Here is a 24870-nt window from a genome sequence, read left to right on the forward strand (position 1 = left end):
TCCTCCCAGATTGTCGCTGTGCACCTGGCCTGGCTTCCAGAGGCCTTGGGTGATTCCCTGGGTGAGGCCCATTCCTAGCCTTGCAGGTTTTCAGAAGGTAACTTTGCTGCTTTGGCCAGAAGGCCGCAATGTGGCAGTATTCAGCAACGTGGCATTTCTGTGCAGAGTTTTAAACTTTGGTTCAGTTCGTTGCTGATTCATTTGATGTCTTAAGGAGCATGGAGCTCCAAGAATAAAATGGTAATAAGTGAGGACTTCCAGTTCTGATTCTGCACGTAAGGAGCTTGGAAGATATCTTTCAGTAGATATCTGGCACTAGGTTCCCTGCAGCCTACTCCCAAGGAAATCATTTCCGAGCTGGGCTTTTCCAACCTCGAGTTTGGCCAGGCCGCATCCCCTCTCCCCAGCAGCCCTGCCGCCTCCCTGCACTCTCATGCATGCCTCTGGTTTGCAGTGATGGCTGCTCCCTCCGCCAATGTCACCTGCTGTTCATGCAGCACGTGGCCGCACCTTCTGGTCAGTGCTCTGACTCACCTGCCTGTCAGTTATTCTTCTGTGGGCCAGGTCTTCAGGATGATCCTTTGCTGGTTCCTTGTCCCTAAGTTATCTCCAAAGGTGAGTTTTTCCCAAACCAGGTTTTTGCAGGACGTTTGTGCTGGGGGGATCAAGGGCTGTGTTCTAGGCTTGTGCAGGCTTTGTTACAATCCAGTTTGGTGTGTCATCATTTTCCTCATTTTAAAGGAATAAATGAGGCTGGGTGTAGTGGCTCAAGCCTGTAATCCCAGCACTTTTGGAGGCTGAGGTGGGAGGATCGCTTGGGCTCAAGAAGTCAAGGCTGCAGAGAGTTGGGATGGTACCACTGCACTCCAGCCTGGATGATAGAGTGAGACCCTGTCTCAAAGAGAAAAAAAAACGAATAAACAAGATATCATGTGTGAGAGAGGTTATAAAGGTAAGGTATAAATAATAAATAGAAAGACTCCGCATAGAAAGCAGGACATGCCATGTCCTCAGGTGGCCTCTGTGTGCTTGAGCCTGAGTCAGCCTCTCAAGGGTGCGACCGCTGGCCTTGGAGGTGAGCGCATCCCCTGACCCACCCCAGGCTCCACTCTTGTCCTTGGTGTGAATTGTTTCCTTGCTGCTTGTTGTGGTTTTATTTTGTGTTGTGCCCTGAAAGAACACACCAGGGGGTTTCATGTGCCCTCCCCTTCCTCTGTGCCTGGTCTTGTCCCTGCCTCACCCTCGGCCAAGGGGCCAGCCTCTGCAGACCTGCCTTTGTGATGTCATCTTCCCTATGATCAGACACTAAACTCAGGAAGGCACCAAGACTGGCGGCATGGCTTTACACCCAAACCATCTTGGTGCTTCATGACAGCCAGATCCCTCACCTCACTGCCCGAGATGGCAGCCACATGAGACAGGCCCTGGAAATAACAGGTACCGTGATGTCCTTGACCTTTAATTAGCTCCACATTTTCTATTTGCTACTCACCGAAGAGCTGACCTGCTGACCTGTTTATGCAGCCCACAGGGCGGAAAAAGTTCTAAAATCTAAAAGTGAAGCTCAGAGGCTAATTTTGTATATGCAAAATGTACAAGATATGAATAAAGTGTTATATTAATAAAATGCCCTAGAACTCGTACTCTTTCCAGAGGGAATGGGAAGGCCTGGGGCCGCATCCATGTCCTGGCTGTGCTGTGCTGCGTGCCCCTGGGGAAATCCCTACCAAATCACTCTGGGTCGAACCTCATGAGGGGTTACTTCTCCTCTCGACTCTTCTGTTGCCAGCTAGTGTCATTATTTAATCAGGCTGTCAGGTCATCTCGGGATAGATGGTTTCTGCTTTTCTGCCATGCTTGCCTGGAGACTCAGTTTAAGCTAAAAGCTAGAAACTGTATCTCCAACAGAGGACTGTCTCAAAGCCAGGGTGGAAAGAGCCGGATTGGACACTCAGCAAATGACACCATGAGGACATGGCTGGTGGTGCAGGCATCTTCGCACCAGACAACGTTACATGTGAGACTGCGCCCAGGAGCCGAGTGAGGTTTCTAGGACTCTCAGGAGGGAGCAGAAGGAAGCAACTCCCCATGACTCCATGGCTGGCTGGGGCACAAGCTCACATTCGGGAAGCCACAGAGGGGAGCGTCTTGTCACTTTGTGCCTTAGCACTGCGGTGCCCTCAGTGTGGGGTGAGCAAAATCACACCTTTTCTAGGAATAGGCCCTTACACTGACTGACAGACTCCACAGATAAACAGTGATGTGGCTTCCCCCGCTCATGGGAAGTGCATGGTGAAGAAGAGAATGCACTGAGTGAGTAATGTCCGAGCGTGCCTGCTGCCCCAGCCTCCTACCCCACAGGGGAGATGCCTGGGGTCCGGCTCGGGACGCACGGCAGTCCAGCTTCCCTAGGGACACCCCTGCCTGCTCGTCCTCTGCTTCAGGCCTGATCATCATCGCCAAGGAGAAACCTCATGTTTTTAAGAAGTCCCTGTGGTGGTCAGCCAAGGGACTGCTTCTTTGCTCACAGCAAGGCAGGATGCTGAGGAGGAGTTTGAGAGCCAGGCTGAAAACAGTGAGGTGGATGCAGGAGCCAGCTGGGATCCTGGCCAAGGGGGTGGAGAGAGAGTCGCAAGCTGGCTGTGGCTTCTCTGCATTTCCAATTTGCCTTTCTATAGAATAATGATAAGAGAGCCTCCCCACTGGTGGGTCATGTATTTTCAATGAGTTAATATGTGCAAAGGGACGGGCATGGAGGTCAGAACTTCAAGACCAGCCTGACCAACATGGTGAAAACCCGTCTCTACTAAAAATACAAAAATTAGCTGGGTGTGGTGGCACAAGCCTGTAATCCCTGCTATTCAGGAGGCTGAGGCAGGAGAATCACTTGAACCCGGGAGATGGAGGTTGCAGTAAGCCGAGATCACGCCACTGCACTCCAGCCTGGGCGACAGAGTGAGACTCCGTCTCAAACAAAAAAAAAAAATTGCAAAGAGCATCAAACAGTGCAGCGTCATGAGTGAGCTCATGCTCTGGCCCCTTATTTTCATTTAGTGCCACTGGAGACCTTGAGGAAGGGGGTCCCTTTGAAATTTGGTGACCAACATCCATCCATCTCAGCTCTGTCCTGGAGGTCAGCTAAGATCATGGGTAAGTGCTTTGCCAAGACCACTCGCTACAATGTGTCTCTGGAACAACATCCCCTTATTGCCGCAGTGCAGTTCCAAGCTCCTGCTGGAGCCGGTGCCTGTCTGGACACCTCCCCACCACCCCTACTGGAGAACCTAACATTCCTGCCTCCGTTTTTGCCTGCAGTTCTTCAACATAGAATCTCTGCTCCCAGGAGCAGGGTGGTTTTTGTTTTTGTTTTTGTTTTTTTTGCAGGGGGGTTGGGTGCGTATCAGTTGTCAGGCCTCTGAGCCCAAGCTAAGCCGTCATATCCCCTGTGACCTGCACGTATACATCCAGATGGCCTGAAGCAACTGAAGATCCACAAAAGAAGTGAAAATAGCCTTAACTGATGACATTCCACCATTGTAATTTGTTTCTGCCCCACCCTAACTGATCAATGTACTTTGTAATCTCCCCCACCCTTAAGAAGGTTCTTTATAATCTCCCCCACCCTTAAGAAGGTTCTTTGTAATTCTCCCCACCCTTGAGAACGTACTTTTCGAGATCCACCCCCTGCCCACAAAACATTGCTTCTAACTCCACTGCCTATCCCCAAACTTATAAGAACTAATGATAATCCCACCACCCTTTGCTGACTCTTTTCAGACTCAGCCCGCCTGCACACAGGTGAAATAAACAGCCTTGTTGCTCACACAAAGCCTGTTTGGTGGTCTCTTCACACGGACACATGAGACATCAGTAATTCTATTTCGAACATGCTCAATTTGAAATGGGCATTAGATATCTGATATGGTTTGGATCTGTGTCGCCACCCAAATCTCCTGTTCAATTGTAATCCCCAGTGTTGGAGGTGGGGCCTGGCGGGAGGTAATTTGATCATGGGGGCGGAGTTCTCATGAATGGGTCAGCACCATCCCCTCGGCACTGTTCTCCTCTTAGTGAGTGAGTTCGGGAGGGATCCGACTGTTTGAAAGTGTGGGGCATCTCCCCATTCCCTGTCTTGCTCCTGGTCCTGCCATGTGAGACACCTGCTCCCGCTCTGCCTTCTGCCATGAGTGAAAGCTCCCTGAGGCCTCCCCAGAAGCAGATGCTGCCATGCTTCCTGTACAGCCTGCAGAACTGTGAGCCAATTAAACCTCTTTTGTTTATAAATTACCCAGTCTCAGGCCTTTCTTCAGCAGTGTGAGAACGGACTAATACAGCATCCAAGCATGATGTGTGTGAGGCAGTTGGCTGCTTGAGCCTGTGTCTATAAAAACAAGCTGGAGACAGTGGCTTGGGGAGTCAGCATGCAGATGAAATTTAAAAATCATGGCTCGATACCTTCATTTAAGGAGGGTGAAGAGATCAAAAGAAGGGTCCAAGGCTGGATGGAGGCTGCACCACTGCCACCACAAAGGTGAGAAAGTGAGACCCAGGGAGGCCCCCTGAGAAAGGCTGAAGACCAGGGAATGCTGTCTCAAGCCAAGTGAGGAAAGGCCTTCAAAGAGATGGTGAGGTCCACCGGAAGGCTGGGCAGGGTATGGGAGGGAGATGGCTGACCTGGAGATTCGGAGAGGGTGCAGTGACTGGTAATACTGAGGTCTAGAGTCTCATGGGTGTTCACAGTGGGACAGAGGTGTTATCATAAGGATGGCATATTATAAAGGATGCTTCCAGGTTCAAGTACAGGAAATCCTGGCCAAAGTGGCTTAAACAACAGGGTGTTGGCCAGGCATGGTGGCTCATGCCTGTAATCCCAGCACTTTGGGAGGCCAAGGCGGGCAGATCAGCTGAGGTCAGGAGTTCAAGACCAGTCTGGCCAACGCGGCAAAACCCCATCTCTACTAAAAAATACAAAAATTAGCTGGGCTTGGTGGCACGCACCTGTAATCCCAGCTACTTAGGAAGCTGAGGCAGGAGAATGATTTGAACCCGGGAGGCAAAAGTTGCAGTGAGCCGAGATCGCACCATTGCACTCCAGCCTGGACGACAGAGCAAAACTCCGTATCAAAAAAAAAAAGAAATAAATGAAGAAAAAGAAAGAAAGAGAGAGGGAGGGAGGGAAGGAAGGAAAGGAAGGAAAGGAAAGAAAGGAAAAAAAGGAAGAAAGTCATGGATGCCTCCGCAGCTCCCCACGTCATTTACCAAGGCCACTTGCCCATACCACAGACAGAGAGTCCTTGGTTTCTGGTCCTGCCAGTCAGAATTGGGCGGAACTGCCAAGTTGGCCCAACCCTACTCCAATCCCTGACAAAGGGAGCGGCCTTCAGGAGGCTCGGCTCTCTGTGCACTTTGCTCAAGATACCTGAAGAATGATTACTTTGAGGAAGAAAGGAAGACTTTTAGGAAAGAAGCGACTTTGTTTTCGCGGTCAAGGAGCGAAGGCCCCAAGAGACCAAGGTAGACGCTGAAGGAATCCGGGAAGATGACAGAAGCGGTGAAGAGACGCGAGGTGGGGCCAAAATCTTCACTAACCAACAAGGAGGGCTGCGGGGGCTTTGGAGGGCCTCTTTTCTCGCAACCGTGGCCCCTCCGCCCCTCACCTGCCCCTTGAGTGTCTGTGCAGGGGTCTCACACGCGAGCTTGGCTACTCAGACCAAGCCGGTTTACCGTCACCATGGCAACAGCGCGTCCTGGGCTGGGGCGGGGCCAGACTGCCAGTGCCTTTGTGGCGCATTAGGAGCTAAGCCAGTGATTGGCCATCTGGGCGCGGGGCGGGCTGAGTCAGTTGGAGGGGGCGGGGCTGAGGCTCCGGTGAACGCCGTAGGCCCGGGCTGGGCCGAGGGAGATGATGGATGCCGCTTCTTGCCACTCCCCGGGGGCACCACAGAGAGCGGGGAGCCTGCAGAGAGCAGGGACAGCGGCTTCAAACGCACTGTTTCCGGGCAATGTCACTAATACCAAAGTCATGCCTCCCACTGGACACTCCTGGGCTCCCATCCTTCCTACCAAGAAACTTTCTCTGTGAAACCCACGAAACAGCTAGAAATGGAGCCCAAAAGATAGCCAGGATAACAGACCACAGAGAGGATCAAGGCCCAGCAGGACCTGGCGACTCTAACGCTCTGGCACTAGGGTGTCTAGAATGGGAAGCCCCCAAGGGGCTGGAGTGGGATGGGGGTGTGATGCAGGCCGCCCACCAGGTTCCCTCCGGGCAAAGCGGCAGGGCCCCGCGCTTCCTGAGCCTTCACGGAGGTCTAGTGGTCCCTCTGCCTGAAAACCTGTCTGTTTGTCAGGAGGAGTTCGGAGCATATAATTTTGGGGAGCCATTTTCTTCTAGGGAGTTCACTTTCCTGTGCGGGGCGGCGGAGGAAGACAACACATAACTGAACGACAGATGAAGATAAATTATAAAAGAACATTGTTTAAGTGTTTAATCAGACAATGAAGAGAAACCCAAAACAATGAAACCTTTTCAAGGAAGTAAGGTACACAATAAAAAATCTCTTGGAGGAAGTATCAAAGCTTAAAGATGAGTGGAAAATCGGCTTGCTTTTTGGGGACCAAAAGAAAACAGATTTTTTGTTTGTTTGTTTTTTGAGACGGAGTCTCGCTCTGTCGCCCAGGCTGGAGTGCAGTGGCGCAATCTCGGCTCACTGCAAGCTCCGTTTCCCGGGTTCAAGCCATTGTCCTGCCTCAGCCGCCCGAGTAGCTGGAACTACAGGCGCTCGCCACCACGCCCGGCTAATTTTTTGTATTTTTAGTAGAGACGGGGTTTCACATGTTAGCCAGGATGGTCTTGATCTCCTGACCTCGTGATCCACCCGCCTCGGCCTTCCAAAGTGCTGGGATTGCAGGTGTGAGCCACCGCACCCGGACTTTTTTTTCTTAACACAGAGTCTTGCTCTATCGCCCAGGCTGGAGTGTAGTGGCTCGATTCTGGCTCACTGCAACCTCCAGTTCCCAGGTTCAAGTAATTCTAGTGCCTCAGCCTCCCAAGTAGATGAGATTACAGGCATGTGCCACCGCGCCCAGCTAATTTTTGTATTTTTAGTAGAGACGAAGTTTCTCCATGTTGACCAAGTTGGTCTTGAACTCCTGGCCTCAAGTGATCCATCTGCCTCAGCCTCCCAAAGTGATGGGATTACAGGTGTGAACCACTGCTCCCAGCCGAATTTTTAAAATATACTTGAAAGCTGGTTATCTATGAGCTGATGGCAAGTTTTTTTTTTTTTTTTTAAAGACAGAGTGTCACTCTGTCGCCCAGGATGGAGTGCAGTGGTACAATCATAGCTCACTGCAGTCTCAACCTCCCAGGCTTAAGCAATCCTTCCACCTCAGCCTCCTGAGTAGCTGGGACCACAGGCGCACACCACCACACCTGGCTAATTTTATTTTTTATTTTTATTTTTGTAGAGATGGGGGTCTCATTATGTTGCCCAGGCTGGTCTGGAGCTCCTGGGTTCAAGCGATCCTCCCACCTTGGCCTCCCAAAGTGCTGGGATTACAGGTATGAGCCACCATGCTTGGCCCCAGTTGCAAGATTTTATTAAAAATTTTATAGGTCAAAAATGTAGAGGTTAAAAGACCCTCCTGAGGAAGCTAAACAAAGTGCAGACAGGTACAAAGCTGAACTCCATCGGCTCAAAGAAAACAGTGCCCGGCAGAAGATGCCAGAGCAGTTACATTCAGGAAGCTCCATGCCAGTGGGAGCAGCCCCCTGAGTGAGAACTCCCTGGACTATCTGTTCTAGAAGCCCTGCCTTACAGAGTGGATGATGTGAAATTGTGAGCAGTTTCAGCTGTAGGCAGCAAAAACTTGGCCCAACAACAGAAAGAGAAGATAAAACATCAGAGGAGAGAGAGGACAGATGTCACCCAGACAAATTCTTTCTTAACAAGGGTTGAAAAAGGAGGCGGCTAGTTCCCATGCAGTGTGAGCCATGGGTGGTGGGCAAGATCACAACACACTGCACAAGGCAGAGGCAAGATGTGAGAATGAATGCAAGTCCTTGCCGGGAGTCCCCATGACCCCATCAGCCACAGGCCGGGGCACTGCAACAGAGGCAGACTGCACATGGACGTGTGGTGTCTGCATGGGCTGCATGGACCCTCACATGCCCACTCCACAGCTCCATCACAGGCCTCTGCAAAGACCTCCTGTTGCCCCGCCTTCTCTTATTAGTTTCCTGGGCTGCTGTAACAAATTACAACGAACTTAGTGACTTAAAAGAACAGCCTAGTTTTTTCTCACAGGTCCTGGAGTCCAGAACTCTGAAGTTAAGGTGTCAGCAAAGCTGCACTTCCTCCAGAGCCTCTAGGGTAGAACCCATGCCTTGCCTATGGTGGCTGCGGGTGTTCCTGGACTTGTGGCTGTACACCCCAATGTCTGCTCCCACCATCACGTGGCCTTCCAACTGTGTGTGTCTAATCTCGCACTACCTCTCTCTCACAAGGACACTTATGATGGCATTCAGGGCCCACCCAGATAACCCAGGATGACCCTCACCTGAGGATGCTTAAATGAATCACACGTACAAAGACCCTTTTTCCAAGTAAGGTCACATTCACAGATTTCAGGAAGAGAACATGGACACACATTGCTGGGGTGGCATTTTTCAGCCCACCACACCTCCCAGTCTTTCTCCTTCTAGACCCCTGATCACCAGCCCAGCCATCAGCCACTGTCCATCAGTTTCATGTTTACTCTAACCTCAGTCCGCTTCTTTCCACATAGTGAATGACGGTTGCTCTGTCAGAATTTCTGCCTATTGGGAGGACTTTCCCCCACCACTGTTTTTCAGGGCTGTCCCATGGCAGGCTATAGCACAGCAGCATTTGGGGCTTACATCCACCTATCAAGCCATGACCCAAGTTTGGCCCCTTTACTCCCACCTCTACCCCAATTCTGAGCTGAGTGAGACAGGGGCCCGATGCAACCTTTGCAGACAATATGGGGCCTGGGCCACCTGCTTGTGCAGCTCCTGGCTGCCACATGGCCCTGCTCTGGCCCAGAATGGAATGCACCATCACCATCATACTGTGAATGGGGCTGTTGGGCCCACCACTGATTTTATAACTTGGGTTCTAGCCGAACCCAGCTCAGGATGGGCAGTTCTGGCTGCAGAGTCGCTTGATGTCTGTTGCTGGGTGCTCTGCCTCCATCAGGGCCCGGTGGCATGCTGGGAGCTGTTCTGGTTGGGTTTGGTTTTTTGGGTGGTATATGTATAATTATCAGTTACAGATGGTGTGGTCTTGATCCAGAACCCTAATTGTCTGTATTGTGATTCTCCCATGGGAACCTGTCGTAAACTCCAAATGCCCTCTTTTTCTACCATAGATACCTCGTATACATTAAGGTCTGCTGGATCTTATGATGGAAGGAGCAGGGCTGCTGACCCACATCCTGAACTTGCTACAGAGCCCTTTCCAGCTCTGGGCCCAGAGCCTTCATATAGCTCAATAAGGGGGCCAGAGCAGCATGCCCACCTATGGGGTTTGCTACCTTTAAACCCAAGGGAGCCTACTAAGCATCGTGCTTTATTCTCGTTGGTGGGAAGTATGAGATGCAATCATTTGTCTTTTACTTTGGAAGGAATGTCCAAGCATGTCCCAAACCACTGGATCCCTGAAGTCTCCACAAATGTGTTTAGCAGGCTGGAAGATACAAGGTCAATATATATATCAATTAATTAGGTATACAAAAATAAAGTGCATTCAGAGGCCAAGCAAGGAGGATTTCTTGAGACCAAGCGTTCGAGACCAGCTTGGGCAACATAGTGAGATCCCATCTCTACAAAAAGTTTTAAAATTAGCCATGTGTGGTGGCTCCTCTCACCTCAACCTCCTGAGAAACCTGTAGTTCTAGCTACTTGAGAGGTTGAGGCAGAAAAATCCCTTGAGCCCAGGAGTTGAAGGTTACAGTGAGCTATGATCATACCACTGCACTCCAACCTGGGTGACAGAGAAAGACCCTATCTCTTAAAAAAAAATTAAATTAACTCAAAATGGATCATACACCTAAACATAGTTTTTGTGTTAGCTAAAACTATAAGCCTTATAGTTTTACCCATGCTATCATGGGTTATATATTAACCCATGCTATCATGGGTTAATCTCAGCTGATCTGGATTAACCACATTGTGACGGTTAATTTTAGGTGTTGACATGACTGGATTAAGAAATACCTACAAAACTGGCAAAACAGTACTTCTGGATGTGTCTGTGAGGGTGTTTCAAGGAGACTGATGTGTGAGTTGCTGCACTGAGTCGGGAAGATGTTCCTCAATGTGGGCAGCCACCATTCAATTGGCTGGGTGTCCAGAGAGAACAAAAAAGGAAGGAAAAGGATTTTCCCTCTCTCTCCTGGAACTGGGACACTCTCCTCTTCCTGCCCCCCGGTTCTCACGACTTCAGCCTCAGACAGAGACTTACATAATTGGTTTCCCTGGTTCTAAGGTCTCTGGACTTGGACTGGGCCATGCTACCAGCATCTCAGAGTTGCCAGCTTGTAGACAGCCTGTTGTGCGACTTCTCAACCTCTGTAATCAAGTGAGCTAATTCCCCTAACAAACCCCCTCTCATATGTCTATATCTATCGATAGCTCCTATTGATCTGCCTCTCTGTAGAACCCTGACCAATGCACACATGCTTATTACAAGGTATTGACCCTTGGCCAATGCTGTGCAATGGATTAACTAAAGATAAAGATGTTCTATAACTATGAGTCTGTGAGTTGCTTCAGGGCAGGACTACCAGCCTGTCAGCATTGTTCAATAATAATTGAACTCATTATTTGTACCTGGTTTTAGAGGGGTCTGGAAAATTTTGAAAGCTAAAGCTGGTCACAAAGTCGGAACATACCTATGTGATCAGCTCACTCTAAGACTCCCACCATGAGCCGACTTCAGGCTTCTTGGGACCGAGGTGCTTCCACACACAGTGTTCAAGGGCAAGATCTGAAATCAAAGTGCATCCTATGTGTCCCAGTGTTAAAAATATCTAGATCTCAAAGTCCCTTTAGTGCATAGCCTTCTGCTTTTGCTACTGTGCCTATAAAAAAGCACAAGTATAAACCGAGTCCTGCACGTCCTTTCAGCAGCTGAACTCTTAGGGTGATTAATGTGTAATTCACACAAATTCCTTAAAGAAGGCATAGGAGAACATCTTAACAACCTTTGGTTTGGCAAAGATTACTTAGATAAGACACAAACAGCATAATCCATGAAGGCAACAAATCAATAAATTGAACTTTCTCAAAATTAAAACTTTGGCTCTACAAAAGACTGTTAGAAAGAAAAAGGGAGCTATATACTGTGAAAAATATTTGCGAAATATATATCCAACAAAAAACATGAATCTGGAATACATAAAGAACTCCCATAACTCAATAATAAGAAGACAAACAACCCAATTTTTAAAAATCCAATTCATATGTGAGCAAAAGACATAAATATATATTTCACCAAAAAGGGTATACATTCGCAAATAAGCTTATTAAATGATGCTCAACATGATTAGCTATTAGAGAAACTCAAATAAACCCACAATCACTATACACCTATCACAGTGACTAAAATAAAGAACAGTGGCCTCTCCCTCTCCCTCTCCCTCTGGTCTCCCTCTGTTGCTGAGGCTGGACTATACTGCCGTGGTCTCAGCTAGCTGCAGCCTCCCTGCCCCGGGCTCCCGTGGTTCTCCTGCCTCGGCCTGCCGAGTGCCTGGGATTGTGGGCGAGCGCCGCCGCGCCTGACTGGTTTTTGTATTTTTGGAGGAGACAGGGTTTCCCCTGTTGACCGGGCTGGTCTCCGGCTCCTGACCTCAAGTAGTCTGCCTGCCTCGGCCTCCCAGGGTGCTGGGATTGCAGACGGAGTCTCGCTCACTCAATGCTCAGTGTTGCCCAGGCTGGAGTGCAGTGGTGTGATCTCGGTTCGCTGCAACCTCCACCTTCCAGCTGCCTGCCTTGGCCTCCCAAAGTGCTACGATTACTGCCTCTGCCTGGCCGCCACCCCATCTGGGAAGTGGGGAGCGTCTCTGCCTGGCTGCCCATCGTCTGGGATGTGGGGAGCCCCTCTGCCCGGCCGCCCCGTTTGGGAAGTGAGGAGTGCCTCTGCCTGGCCGCCACCCCGTCTGGGAAGTGAGGAGCGTCTCTGCCTGGCCGCCCATCGTTTGGGATGTGAGGAGCGCCTCTGCCCGCCGGCCTCCTCTGGGATGTGAGGAGCGCCTATGCCCGGCCACCCCGTCTGTGAAGTGAGGAGCACCTCTGCCCGGCTGCCCCGTCTGGGAAGTGAGGAGCGCCTCTGCCCGGCTGCCACCCCGTCTGTGAGGTGAGGAGTGTCTCTGCCAGGCCACCACCCTGTCTGGGATGTGAGGAGCCCCTCTGCCCGGCTGCCCCGTCTGGGAAGCGAGGAGTGCCTCTACCTGACCGCCCTGTCTGGGAAGTGAGGAGCACCTATGCCCGGCCGCCCCATCTGGGAAGCGAGGAGCACCTCTGCCTGACCGCCCATCATCTGGGAAGTGAGGATCGCCTCTGCCCGGCCGCCCCGTCTGGGAGGTGAGGGGCATCTCTGCCCGGCCACCCCATCTGGAAGGTGAGGAGCGCCTCTGCCTGGCCGCCCCGCCTGGGAAGTGAGGAGCGCCTCTGCCCGGCCGCCCTTCGTCTGGGAGGTGGGGAGCACCTCTGCCCGGCTGCCCCATCTGGGAAGTGGGTGCCTCTGCCTGGCCGCCCCATCTGGGAGGTGAGGGGCGTCTATGCCCGGCCACCCCATCTGGGAGGTGAGGAGCACCTCTGCCCGGCCGCCCCGTCTGGGAGGTGGGGAGCGCCTCTGCCCAGCCGCCCATCGTCTGGGAGGTGGGGAGCACCTCTGCCAGGCCACCCCATCTGGGAAGTGTACCCAACAGCTCGGAAGAGACAGCAACCATCGAGAACGGGCCATGATGATGATGGTGGTTTTGTCGTAAAGAAAAGGGGGAAATGTGGGGAAAAGAAAGAGAGATCAGATTGTTACTGTGTCTGTGTAGAAAGAAGTAGACATAGGAGACTCCATTTTGTTCTGTACTAAGAAAAATTCTTCTGCCTTGGGATGCTGTTAATTTATAACCTTACCCCCAACCCCGTGCTCTCTGAAACATGTGCTATGTCAACTCAGGGTTAAATGGATTAAGGGTGGTGCAAGATGTGCTTTGTTAAACAGATGCTTGAAGGCAGCATGCTCGTTAAGAGTCATCACCACTCCCTAATCTCAAGTACCCAGGGACACAAACACGGCCGAAGGCCGCAGGGACCTCTGCCTAGGAAAACCAGAGACCTTTGTTCTCGTGTTTATCTGCTGACCTTCTCTCCACTATTATCCTATGACCCTGCCACATCCCCCTCTCTGAGAAACACCCAAGAATGATCAATAAATACTAAAAAAAAAAAAAAAAAAAAAAAAAGAGAACAGTGGCTTGGTGTAGTGTCCCACACCTGCAGTTTCAGCACTTTGGAAGGCTGAGGGGGAAAGACTGCCTGAGCCCAGGAGTTCAAGACTAGCCTGGGCAACATAGTGAGACCCAATCTCTACAAAAAATAATTAGCTGGGCATGATGGCTCACACCTGTAGTCCCAGCTATTTGGGAGACTGAGGTGGGAGGATCGCTTGAGCCCAGGAGATCGAGGCTGCATTGAGCCGAGATTATGCCACTGCACTCCAGCCTGGGTGACACAGCAAAACCCTGCCTCAAAAAAAAAAAAAAAGAAAGAAAAAAAAATAGTGATAACACCAAATGATAGTGAGGATGCAGAAAAACTAGACCACACATTACTGTTAGGAATGTGGCCAGGCACGGTGGCTCATGCCTGTAATCCCAGCATTTTGGGAGACAGAGGCAGGTGGATTACTTGAGGTCAGGAGTTTGAGACCAGCCTGGCCAACATGATGAAACCCTATCTCTACTAAAAATATTTAAAAATTAGCCAGGAGTGGTGGCGGGCACCTGTAATCCCAGCTACTCAGGAGTCTGAGGCAGGAGAATGGCTTGAACCTGGGAGGTGGTGGTTGCAGTGAGCCAAGATCAGGCCACTGCACTCCATCCTGGGCAACAGAGCAAGACTCCATCTCACAAAAAAAATAATGTAAAATGGTACAGGCACCCTGGAAAATAGCTTGGTAGTTTCTTTCTTTTTTTCTTTCTTTTTTTTTTTTTTTAAGATGGAGTTTTGCTCTTGTTGCCCAGGCTGGAGTGCAATGGTGAGATCTCGGCTCACTGCAACCTCCGCCTCCTGGGTTCAAGCAATTCTCCTGCCTCAGCCTCCTGAGTAGCTGGGATTACAGGTGCGCACCATCATGCCTGGCTAATTTTTTGTATTTTTAGTAGAAACGGGGTTTTACCATGTTAGCCAGGCTGGTCTTGAACTCCTGAACTCAGGTGATCCTCCCGCTTCAGCCTCCCAAAGTGCTGGGATTACAGGTGTGAGCCACCATGCCCAGCCGGTAGTCTCTTATAAAACTAAATATATACTGGCCATAAAACCCAGAAACCACACTCACATTTATCACAGAGAAATGAAAACTGTTCACACCAACACCTGGCCACAAATGTCCACAGCAGCATTATTCACAATTGCCAAAAACTGGAAAAAACACAAATGCTCTTCAATGGGTGAATGGTTAAAGAAACTTTGATACCCCCATACCATGTAATACTACTCAGCAATAAAAAGGAACCGACAATTGATATATTCAACAACTTGGATGGATCTCAAGCAAATTACGCTCAGTGAAAAAGAGCCAGTTCAAAAGGCCATATACTGTGTGATTCCATTTATATAACATTTTTGAAATGACAAAATAGACAGATGAAAATCAGATTAGCAGTTGCCAGGGTTTAGGGGCAGAGGAGGAGGGGGCGGACATAGGTAAAGGGTTAGCATGAAGGACTTCTGTGGTGATAATTATTCTGTATCTTGATTGTGGTGCTGGTTACACGAACCTACACATGTGATAAAATTGCATTGAACTATTCACACGCATACATACAACACACACAAGTGAGTGCATGTGACACTGATGAAGTACAAACAAGCTCTGAGGACTGTATCAACATCAGCGTCCTGGCTTTGATATTAAACCATAGTTAGAGAAGATGTTATCATTGGGGGAAACTGGGTGAAACGTACACGAAACTTCCTCGAACTTTTTTTTTTTTTTGCAACTTCCTGTGGGTTTATAATCATTTCGAAATTTATCCTCTTTTTTTTTTTGAGACAGAGTCTCACTCTGTCACCCAGGTTGGAGTGCAATAGCCTGATCTCGGCTTACTGCAACCTCTCCCTCCCAGGTTCAAGCAATTCTTCTGTCTCAGCATCCCATGTAGCTGGGATTACAGGCACGCACCACCACACCCGGCTAATTTTTGTATTTTTAGTAGAGATGGGGTTTCAACATGTTGGCCAGGCCGGTCTTGAACTCCTGACCTCAAGTGATCCGCCAGCCTTGGCCTACCAAAGTGCTGGGATTACAGGCATGAGCCACTGCACCTGGCCCAAATTTTAAAATTCTTAACATATATTATTTTTAAAATGCTTCTCCACCCACTCCTCTCCACCGCTGTACTTCTGTTGCTATCTCAGGCAGTGGTCCATGAAGGCCAGCACCACAAATAAAGCTACAACTGCTCAGTGTTTATGTAACACCCAGATAAAACCACCCCCACCCTTCTCCATGTCATCTCAATGTAGTGACATAGCCAAAAGTAACGCAGGTCCAAAACCCTGAGCAGTCATGGAGAGCTTTGCTTCAAGTTTTCTTGGGAGGACTGTGGAGAGTAGGCTCCCATCTCATGATGCAAAGCAAAACTTCCTGATGTCGTCCTTCCCACCCCCGACCAAAGCTGCGCTTTAAAGCAGATCCTCCAGTATCTCCTCCCCTCTCCCCATCTGCTTCTCTCCCCCTAAGCTTCCAGCCTTCTCTTCCTCTCCCCTCCCATCCCCTCCAACAGGACTGCTGGATTTCCGGCAAAAACTCCCAGGTCTGTTCTAACATGGATCAGCCTGGGCTCTTCCCATCTCTGCCCACTCCCACAGCAAAGGCCCCATAAGGAGCAGCCAAACACTCGCACCTCCTCATGACACAAAGGAAAGGGAAGGCTGTGAACAGCCACTTGCGCTGTAGCATTTTTGTTTCTGTTTTTTTTTTAAAAAAAAATGGGTAGGCCGGGCACGGTGGCTCACGCCTGTAATCCCAGCACTTTGGGATGCCAAGGCAGGCAGATCACAAGGTCAGGAGTTCGAGACCAGCCTGACCAACATGGTGAAACCCCATCTCTACTAAAAATACAAAAATTAACCGGGTGTGGTGGCACGCAACTGTGATCCCAGCTACTTGGGAAGCTGAGGCAGGAGAATTGCTTGAACCCGGGAGGCAGAGGTTGCAGTGAGCTGAGATTGCGACGATGCACTCCAGCCTGGGTGACAAAGCAAGACTCTGTCTCAAAAATAAATAAATAAATAAATAAAATGGATAAAAGATTTGGAGAATCACCTCAGCAAAGAAGATAAGCTGATGGCAAATAAGCACAGGAAAAGATGCTCAACATCATTAGTCATTAGGGAAACACTCATTGAAACCATGAAGAGACACCGCGACACACCCACTAGGATGGCTACAACCAAAGAGACTCACCATGGCAAGTGGTAGTGAGGGTGTGAAGAAACTGGGACATTCATGCACTGCTGGTGGGAATGTGAAATGGCACAACCATTTCGGAAGACAGTTTGGCAGGTTCTTATGAAGTTAAGCATACAGCCAGGGATGGTGGCTCACACCTAATACTTTGGGCTTTGGGAGGTGGAGGAGGGTGGATGGCTTGAGCCCAGCCCAGGAGTTAGAGACTAGCCTGGGTAACATGGCGAGACCCTGTTTTGCCATGTCACCCAGGCTCTGTCAACCAGGCTGGAGTGCAGTGGCACAATCTCCACTCACTGCAACTTCCACCTCCCAGGTTCAAGCGATTCTCCTGTCTCAGCCTCCCAAGTAACTAGGATTACAGGTACGTGCCACCACAATGTGCTAATTTTTGTATTTTAGTAGAGATGGGGTTTCACCATGTTGGCAGGCTAGTCTTGAACTCTTGACCTCAGGTGATCCACCCACCTCAGCCTCCCAAAGTGCTGGGATTACAGGCGTGAGCCACGCGCCTGGCCTGCAAGACCCTGTTTCCAAAAATAAAAAAGTTAAACCTGCCATATGACTCAGTCACTTCACTCGTAGGGATTTACCCAGGTTTCATGAAAACATAGTCCACACAAGACCTGCACAGTAATATGTATAGACACTTTATTGGTAATAGTTAGAAACTGGAAACAACCCAAGTGTCCATCAACAGAAGAATGCAGCCAGGCACAGTGGCTCATCCCTGTAGTCCCAGCACTTTGGGAGGCTGAGGTGGGCGGATCATGAGGTCAGGAGTTCAAGACCAGTCTGGCCAACATGGTGAAACTCCACCTCTACTAAAAATACAAAAATTAGCGGCACATGGTGGCATGTGCCTGTAATCCCAGCTACTCGGGAGGCTGAGGCAGGAGTATCGATTAAACCCGGGAGGCGGAGGTTGCAGTGAGCTGAGATAGAGCCACTGGGCAACAGAGCAAGACTCCATCTCGGGGGCAAAAAAAAAAAAAAAAGAAGAATGCATAAATTATGGCACATCCATGCTATGGAATACTGTTTAGCAATTTTAAAAGAATGAACTGCACTCCAACCTGGGTGACAGAGCAAGACCCTGTCTAAAAAAGAAAAAAAGAAAAAATAATAATAAACTATTGATATTCACATCACTACAGATAAATCTCAAAATAATTATGCTAATGGAAAGAAGCCAGACAAAAGAGTACACATTGTATGATTCCATCTATATAAAATTCTAGAAATCGCAAATGAATCAAACAGAAAGCAGATCAGTGCTTGCCTGTGGCATTGCCTTGCCTCTCCAAGGGGTCCTTGGGGGAGGGAGAAAAGGATCACAGAAGGGCATAAGGAAAGTTTTCAGTGATGGATGTAGTCATTTTTTTGATTGTGGTGATTATTTCACCGGGTATATATATATATATATTCTTCCAATTTTGGCCGAGTGCGGTGGCTGTCACCTATAATCCCAGCACTTTGGTAGCCTGAGGCAAGAGGACTCCTTGAGCCCAGGAATTCAAGACCAGGCGTGGTGTAGCCGGGCGTGGTGGTGCACACCTGTAGTCCCAGCTACTCAGGAGGCTGAGGTGGGAGCATTTCTTGCGCCCAGGAGGTGGAGGTTGCAGTACGCTACGATCATGCCACTGCACTCTAGCGTGGGTGACAGAGCTCACTTGAATCTGGGAGGCAGAGTTTGTGGTGAGCCAAGATTGTGCCATTGCACTCCAGCCTGGGCAACAAGTATGAAACTCCGTCTAAAAAAAAAAGAAAAGAAAAAAAAGAAATCAATGTGGCTGCTCTCAAAACACCAGATACGTCTATTGAATCATGCATAGAACCTGGGAAAGGGACCTCTGGGTGGATTCCTGAATGCAGTGGACCTACAGTGAGTTGGGCCTGGGTCAAAACTCTATTGCCTAACTCTCATATAGCCCCAACACTACCAGGGGACCACAATAAGGCTTTGGGTCCCTGGGTATCAATGCCAAGATGGATTCTGTGTCTAGCAGCACTTGAAATGTTTAAATTCCTCTTTACCTAGTATGTGGCAACTCTAGTAAATAGCCATAAGTGCCACTGGGGAAGAACTGAGGAATCATGACCACTCACTCACTGCCGTGAAGGAGTTGTTCCTCCTGGAAACCCAGCCTCTCCTTCAGGCACTGGGGTCTGGTCTGAAGTTTTTCACTGGGGTAGCTGCCCTCAGCCTCCATCTCCCATCTTGGATTTCTTTTGGTTGTGTAGATTAAGCAATGACTTTGTGGGCTGTTCTCCTCCTTGGCCACAGGAATAACCTGCTCAATTCGCCACCTCCACAGCTCTGGGAAGGTCGGATGTCCCTGGCTGCCACAGCAATGTTGGCACCTCTGCTTAGAGAGGGCCATGCTTTCTCCAAGCCTCCAGGGGCTACACAGGCAGCATGTTGGCCCCACCTCCTGGGCTCTTTCTAGGATGTTATATCCTGTATCTTAGAAGAGTGTTCTCACAGCAGCCTGGGCAACATAGTGAGACCCCCATCTCTACAAAAAATAGAAAAAGTTAGCCCGTGATGCTGGCACATGCCTGTAGCCCCAGCAACTCAGGAGGCTGAGGTGGAAGGACTGCTTTGAAGTCAAGGCTGCAGTGAGCCATGATCGCACCACTGCACTCCAGCCTGGGCAACAGAGCAAGACCCTGTCTCAAATAAATAAGTAAATAAATAAATAAAAATAAACTCTACTTTATCCAACTTTATGTTCTACCCCCTCCCTACCTTGTCCCAGGACCCTCAGGCCTGCCACACACACGTGCACACGCACAACTCTCTCTGACTCGCTCTTCCTAGTCACCTTGGCCAAGTCCTGCAGCTTCTTTAGAATTTGGTCCCTGCCCTTTCTTACTAAGCCCAATGCCTCCCCAGCCAAGTGTAGTCTCAAGTTCGGGTGTGACCAGGAGCAGGTGGCTGGCCCTGAGGGTGGCCATTGCCTTGCAAGTCAGTGGCGGCTGGGCACCTGGGTGCTTCCCTTCAGACGAACCCATTCCAAGCTTCAGGGAGCCTCTGTCCCCACAGAGGGAGCTAAACTGACCAGGACTGAGAGTTCATAATTTTCTCTAATTATGCCCTGGGCTCAATTCTCAGCATTTTTAGCCCTCCAGTAGCAGGAAATAGTCTCTTTAGCTGCAGCCTCAAGGCCCCGTGACCAACACTGTGCTATGGTGTGATTGGTGGTGAATCATGCTTAGCCTTTCACTGTCTTTCTCTAACCGATGGTCTCAGCAGCACCCATCCAACTCCAGGCCTTATTGACGTCCATCCCCAGGACCTCTCAGAAAACTGAGCTATGGCATGTGGGGAAAAGCAAGAGAGATCAGATTGTTACTGTGTCTGTGTAGAAAGAAGTAGACATAGGAGATTCCATTTTGTTCTGTGCCAAGAAAAATTCTTCTGCCTTGAGATTCTGTTAATCTATAACCTTACCCCCAACCCCGTGCTCTCTGAAACATGTGCTGTGTCAACTCAGAGTTAAATGGATTAAGGGCGGTGCAAGATGTGCTTTGTTAAACAGATGCTTGAAGGCAGCATGCTCCTTAAGAGTCATCACCACTCCCTAATCTCAAGTACCCAGGGACACAAACACTGCGGAAGGCCGCAGGGACCTCTGCCTAGGAAAGCCAGGTATTGTCCAAGGTTTCTCCCCATGTGATAGTCTGAAATATGGCCTCGTGGGAAGGGAAAGACCTGACTGTCCCCCAGCCCGACACCCGTAAAGGGTCTGTGCTGAGGAGGATTAGTAAAAGAGGAAGGAATGCCTCTTGCAGTTGAGACAAGAGGAAGGCAGCTGTCTCCTGCCTGTCCCCGGGCAATGGAATGTCTCGGTATAAAACCCGATTGTAATGCTCCATCTACTGAGATAGGGAAAAACCGCCTTAGGGCTGGAGGTGGGACCTGCGGGCAGCAATACTGCTTGTAAAGCATTGAGATGTTTATGTGTATGCATATCTAAAAGCACAGCACTTAATCCTTTACATTGTCTATGATGCAAAGACCTTTGTTCACGTGTTTGTCTGCTGACCCTCTCCCCACAATTGTCTTGTGACCCTGACACATCCCCCTCTTTGAGAAACACCCACGAATGATCAATAAATACTAAGGGAACGCAGAGGCTGGCGGGATCCTCCATATGCTGAACGCTGGTTCCCCGGGTCCCCTTATTTCTTTCTCTATACTTTGTCTCTGTGTCTTTTTCTTTCCTAAGTCTCTCGTTCCACCTTACGAGAAACACCCAAAGGTGTGGAGGGGCAACCCACCCCTACATGGCGTCCCCAGTGCACATTCTCCCATTCTAATTCACCAACTGTGGAGGTTCTAAGTTCTAACAATTTCGCCTGCTTCAGCATGCCAGGGGCGTCAACCTGCCACCCACCACCAGGGTTAGCGCCAGCAGTGATGTGAAGCAGCTCGCACATCCCACGTGGAGCCTGCTTCCTCCACCTGCCCTGGAACCAAGCCCCTAGGTCAGGTTCTCTGGAAAACTCGAACTGGTCCTGTGCAGGCAGGAGCCACCCCCATGGTAGAGTGAAGGAGACAGGATGCCACAACGGAGGCCTCGCCCGATCCCTGGGGGAGCTCTGGTGCTGGGATGGCTGGTCAGGGACATCCTGCCTTGAGGCAAGGGAACTCTGCCCTTCCAGGCTACTGGAGGTGCCAAGATACCAAAAGGAGGGGCATGACCATGGGCCGCGGGTAATTCCTGCAGGGGACTCAGCTGAGAGCCACCAGTAGCCACTCTTCCCAGTGGCTGTGGGACCGAGTGCCTCAGTCCTGAGAGGATCTTGCCCATGGGCACAGAGTGCCAGAGACCTTGGAAAGTCCCTCTGAGCACGACTCCTCTGTGCCTAACCCTGAGCAGCTCCAGGGCTCCACCCTAAACTGTGTATTGCTTTGGACGTGCCAGCAGTTCCAAATCCTGGGGGGCCAGCCGGGCAGACAGCATCTGGTGTGGAGAGAACAAAGAGTGAAGCTGACTGAGCACACGGTGGATTTGAACTGTTGCATGGGCGGGAGGTGGGGTGGATGAGACAGGGAGGGGTCAGGGGGATGCTATGGCTGGAGCTGAGGTGCTGGACATTATGAGGGGAAGAGGAGGCCATGGGGGAGGTTTTCTGGTGGGGACCAGACATGGCTAGAGCAGTGCTTGAGAAAATTCCATCCAACAGAATGGATGTTAAGAGGGGATAATTCTGCATTCCCTGAGCTTTGGCTGTACCAGTGGGGGCAAAAAACCACTCCAACCTCCAGGAGTGTCAGGAGAGCGACACAGGCACACAAGAGGCAGAAAGGCCTGTACGAGGCCAAGTGCTAGCTAGCTGAGGTCCGAGGCAGGGCCACGTGGAGGGGACCTGCAGGGCTTCCTGGCTAGTGTGTCCAGGGGGCCCTGCCCGAGGGCTGTCCAGTGGGGAGGCGTTGGCCTCATCTCCAACTGTCAGGAAGGGAATGTGACTCTCCAGGAGGAGGAGACTGGCCCAAAGCCACGCAGCCATGCAGCGGTGGGGTCAGGACCTGCACCTGAGTCGGCACTAGAACCACCTCCTTAACCACCAGTCCACACTGCCCACATTGAGGTGGTCAGGAGGTCAGGAACGAGGAGCACCAAGGAGCAGCCTTGACAAAACGGCCCACAGAGATGCCAGGGCTAGGAACCACACTGCTGCAAGAGGACAGAAGGGGAGATGCACGCTGGGAACAGACACTCAGGACGGAAATGTGTCAAGAAGGAAAGAAGAATGCACACGGCAGCCTGAGGGGCTGGCAGTGTCCGACGGGGCTTGTTACAGAAGTGGGGAGAGAGTCCACGCCAGAGGGGCTGGTGGGGCAGGGGAGGACAATGGGCTTCAGAGGGGCCGTGTGTGTATGGAGGAGAGTCATAAAGACAGGAAGAAAGCCAAGGGGAGGAGCCCCACGGAGAAATAAGACGGGAAATTCATTCAGGGTGGGGTAGGAGAGGGTCAGGGAGAGAGGGAGGACTCCTTTCTGCTTTGGGGTAGAAACGATTAGAGTGGTTTTGTTGTTGTTGTTGTTGTAGTTTTTTTGAGACAGAGTCTTGCTCTGTCGCTCAGGCTGGAGTGCAGTGGCATGATCTCGTCTCACTGCAACCTCCACCTCCCAGGTTCAAGTGATTCTCCTGCCTCAGCCTCCTGAGTAGCTGGGATTTACAGGCATCCACCACCATGCCCAGCTAATTTTTTGTTTTTTTAGTAGAGACAGGGTTTCACCATGTTGCCCAGCCTGGTCTCAAACTCCTGAGCTCAGGCAACCTGCCTGCCTCTGTCCCAAAAAGTACTAGGATTACAGGCGTAAGCCACCACGCCCAGCCTACGATTAGAGTTTTTTTAAGTGCTGGGGTAGGAGGCAGTAGACAGGAGCCCCGGCCATGGGAGAGGCTGGCCTGGGGCATTGTGTGGGGCAGTGAAAATGCTACGGGTAGAATTAGGCGGGAAGGAAGAGGAGTGTGGCAGAATTCCATTCTAAAACAGGATAGTTAGGGAAGGTTTCACAGGCAATATTAGAGGAAGATGTGAAGGTGCTGAGCTATCAAGGGTGGGAACCAGTGTTAACACTCTACAGGCAGGAGAGGTCTGGTGCTCTTGGTGCCTGGTGCTATGGCTGGAAAAGCAAGTGTAGCTGGAACAGAGTGGACAAGGGCGAGAGGAAGAGGAAGTGAAGGCAGAGAGGGGACAACAAACTTCACACAGGGTCGTGGGAAATACTGTGCAGACTCCGGGTTGGATTCTGAGGCAAGTTGGTGCCCTCAGAAGGTTTGCAGCTGAGGAGGGACACGGGTGGGGATGACTGAGCTGCTGTTGACTTGGCTGACAAGTGAATGAGGAGAGCAAGTGCGCATGCAGGGAGTCCGGCCAGGAGGCTACGGCAGGAACCAGTGGGAATGCAGGAAGCACGGACTGTGACTCATATTTCTGGAAGTACCTGCAGCCTTGACAAGAAGTATTTGCTTGTGGGTGGTGTGCTGGGTGTGAGAGATGAGGCGTTCGCAAGAATCCTGGCTAGGTGAATGGGATGACTGGTTTGAAGGAGATCAGTGGCTGTACGTTCAGCTCAAGGTGTCTAGGAGATGTCCAGGTGGAGATGTTGGGGGAACAAATGCATTAGAGCCTGGGGTTGAGGAGAAAGGCCCAGGATATGAGGAGCATTTGGGAACTGTGTGCCTTCAGGAAGAAGGGATGAGGTCACCAATGGCAGTGGATGTTTTAGAGAAAAGTTCCAACCCTGACAATCCCGGGGGGCATTTCAACATTAAAAGATTGGGACAGTGATGAGGAACTAGTGAGGAGACCAAGGGCTGGTCAGCGAGGTAAGAGAACCATGGGACAGAGGTGCTGGAGGCCAATAAAAAAATATTTCAGGCCAACGGCAGTGGCTCATGCCTGTAATTCCAGCACTTTGGGAGGCCAAGGTGGGCGAATCACTTGAGGTCAGGAGTTCCAGACCAGCCTGGCCAACATGGTGAAACCCTGTCTCTACTAAAAATACAAAAAATCAGCTGGGTGTGGTGGCACACGCCTATAATCCCAGCTACTCAGGAGGTTGAGGCAGGAGAATCACTTGAACCCGGGAGGCGGAGGTTGCAATGAGCCGAGATTACACCACTGCACCCCAGCCTGCATGACAGAGCAAGACTCCATCTCAAAAAACAAACAATTTCAGAAAGAAATGATCAACCATGATATGGTCGGGTGGAAAAGGCAGGTGGAGTTGGAGGGAAAGGAGGGAGAGTGACTTAGGGTGGGAGGAGAGAAAGTGGAAACAATGAAGGTGGACAACTCAGCGTGACTTTGCTGTTAAGGGGCACAAAGCACTGAGGTGGTCGTTGCAAATGGAAGTGGGGTCAAGAGAGGGTTTTAGGAGAGAACCGTGCTGTATGGAGGGAAAGAAGGTTGGCATTCCCCTTGACAGGGATGGAAGAGGCCCTCAGGCCTGACAACACACACAGGGTTAAGGTGCTCCCACCTACTTCTGGCGTCTAACCCTCATTTTTTAAATTTTTTTTTTTTTTTATATGAGGAGCATTTGGGAACCGTGTGCCTTCAGGAAGAAGGGATGAGGTCACCAATGGGAGTGGATGTTTTAGAGACAATTTCCAACCCTGACAATCCC

At 50.4% G+C, this 24870-nt stretch overlaps 3 long non-coding RNA genes and 1 pseudogene across 4 annotated transcripts in view, besides 9 other annotated features; 3 read left to right on the plus strand and 1 right to left on the minus strand.

Annotated features, from left to right (window-relative positions):
- Positions 20-570: an enhancer, noted in NCBI's record as "H3K4me1 hESC enhancer chr10:43812626-43813176 (GRCh37/hg19 assembly coordinates)". NCBI's record gives its function as "activates a minimal SCP1, AML or CMV promoter by ChIP-STARR-seq in primed H9 embryonic stem cells {active_cell/tissue: H9 hESC(primed)}" and the evidence as "EXISTENCE:reporter gene assay evidence [ECO:0000049][PMID:30033119]".
- Positions 571-1121: an enhancer, noted in NCBI's record as "H3K4me1 hESC enhancer chr10:43813177-43813727 (GRCh37/hg19 assembly coordinates)". NCBI's record gives its function as "activates a minimal SCP1, AML or CMV promoter by ChIP-STARR-seq in primed H9 embryonic stem cells {active_cell/tissue: H9 hESC(primed)}" and the evidence as "EXISTENCE:reporter gene assay evidence [ECO:0000049][PMID:30033119]".
- Positions 1122-1671: an enhancer, noted in NCBI's record as "H3K4me1 hESC enhancer chr10:43813728-43814277 (GRCh37/hg19 assembly coordinates)". NCBI's record gives its function as "activates a minimal SCP1, AML or CMV promoter by ChIP-STARR-seq in primed H9 embryonic stem cells {active_cell/tissue: H9 hESC(primed)}" and the evidence as "EXISTENCE:reporter gene assay evidence [ECO:0000049][PMID:30033119]".
- LOC105378271 (uncharacterized) overlaps positions 1240-24870 on the plus strand; it is a 31909-nt gene continuing 8278 nt past the window's right edge. The window contains exons 1-2 of the long non-coding RNA XR_945902.3: positions 1240-1437; positions 3055-3150. This is a non-coding gene — a long non-coding RNA (uncharacterized LOC105378271). The remainder of the gene's footprint in view (positions 1438-3054; positions 3151-24870) is intronic.
- Positions 2589-3421: an enhancer, noted in NCBI's record as "H3K27ac-H3K4me1 hESC enhancer chr10:43815195-43816027 (GRCh37/hg19 assembly coordinates)". NCBI's record gives its function as "activates a minimal SCP1, AML or CMV promoter by ChIP-STARR-seq in primed H9 embryonic stem cells {active_cell/tissue: H9 hESC(primed)}" and the evidence as "EXISTENCE:reporter gene assay evidence [ECO:0000049][PMID:30033119]".
- Positions 2824-3041: a silencer, noted in NCBI's record as "fragment chr10:43815430-43815647 (GRCh37/hg19 assembly coordinates)". NCBI's record gives its function as "represses an EF-1alpha promoter that drives an FKBP-Casp9 reporter gene in an ReSE screen in HepG2 liver carcinoma cells {active_cell/tissue: HepG2}" and the evidence as "EXISTENCE:reporter gene assay evidence [ECO:0000049][PMID:32094911]".
- On the plus strand, positions 5836-10780 carry LINC02633 (long intergenic non-protein coding RNA 2633). Of its 2 annotated transcripts, none has more exons than XR_945901.3 (2): positions 5836-6542; positions 10213-10780. It is a non-coding gene; the product is annotated as a long intergenic non-protein coding RNA 2633 (long non-coding RNA). The 2 variants fall into 2 exon arrangements; XR_007062128.1 differs by lacking the exon at positions 10213-10780 and adding an exon at positions 9394-9781 and having other exon boundaries at positions 5860-6542.
- Positions 12864-13535: an enhancer, noted in NCBI's record as "NANOG-H3K27ac hESC enhancer chr10:43825470-43826141 (GRCh37/hg19 assembly coordinates)". NCBI's record gives its function as "activates a minimal SCP1, AML or CMV promoter by ChIP-STARR-seq in naive and primed H9 embryonic stem cells {active_cell/tissue: H9 hESC(naive and primed)}" and the evidence as "EXISTENCE:reporter gene assay evidence [ECO:0000049][PMID:30033119]".
- On the minus strand, positions 17356-19250 carry LOC124902414 (uncharacterized). Its single transcript, XR_007062130.1, has 2 exons — positions 18828-19250; positions 17356-18472 (listed from the first exon to the last, which is right to left on the minus strand). It is a non-coding gene; the product is annotated as an uncharacterized LOC124902414 (long non-coding RNA).
- Positions 20437-21096: an enhancer, noted in NCBI's record as "NANOG-H3K27ac-H3K4me1 hESC enhancer chr10:43833043-43833702 (GRCh37/hg19 assembly coordinates)". NCBI's record gives its function as "activates a minimal SCP1, AML or CMV promoter by ChIP-STARR-seq in naive and primed H9 embryonic stem cells {active_cell/tissue: H9 hESC(naive and primed)}" and the evidence as "EXISTENCE:reporter gene assay evidence [ECO:0000049][PMID:30033119]".
- Positions 21757-22416: an enhancer, noted in NCBI's record as "H3K27ac-H3K4me1 hESC enhancer chr10:43834363-43835022 (GRCh37/hg19 assembly coordinates)". NCBI's record gives its function as "activates a minimal SCP1, AML or CMV promoter by ChIP-STARR-seq in primed H9 embryonic stem cells {active_cell/tissue: H9 hESC(primed)}" and the evidence as "EXISTENCE:reporter gene assay evidence [ECO:0000049][PMID:30033119]".
- Positions 22417-23075: an enhancer, noted in NCBI's record as "H3K27ac-H3K4me1 hESC enhancer chr10:43835023-43835681 (GRCh37/hg19 assembly coordinates)". NCBI's record gives its function as "activates a minimal SCP1, AML or CMV promoter by ChIP-STARR-seq in primed H9 embryonic stem cells {active_cell/tissue: H9 hESC(primed)}" and the evidence as "EXISTENCE:reporter gene assay evidence [ECO:0000049][PMID:30033119]".
- Positions 24628-24752, plus strand: RNU6ATAC11P (RNA, U6atac small nuclear 11, pseudogene; annotated as a pseudogene).

This window comes from Homo sapiens, chromosome 10, assembly GCF_000001405.40.
Source record: "Homo sapiens chromosome 10, GRCh38.p14 Primary Assembly".
NCBI lineage: Eukaryota > Metazoa > Chordata > Mammalia > Primates > Hominidae > Homo > Homo sapiens.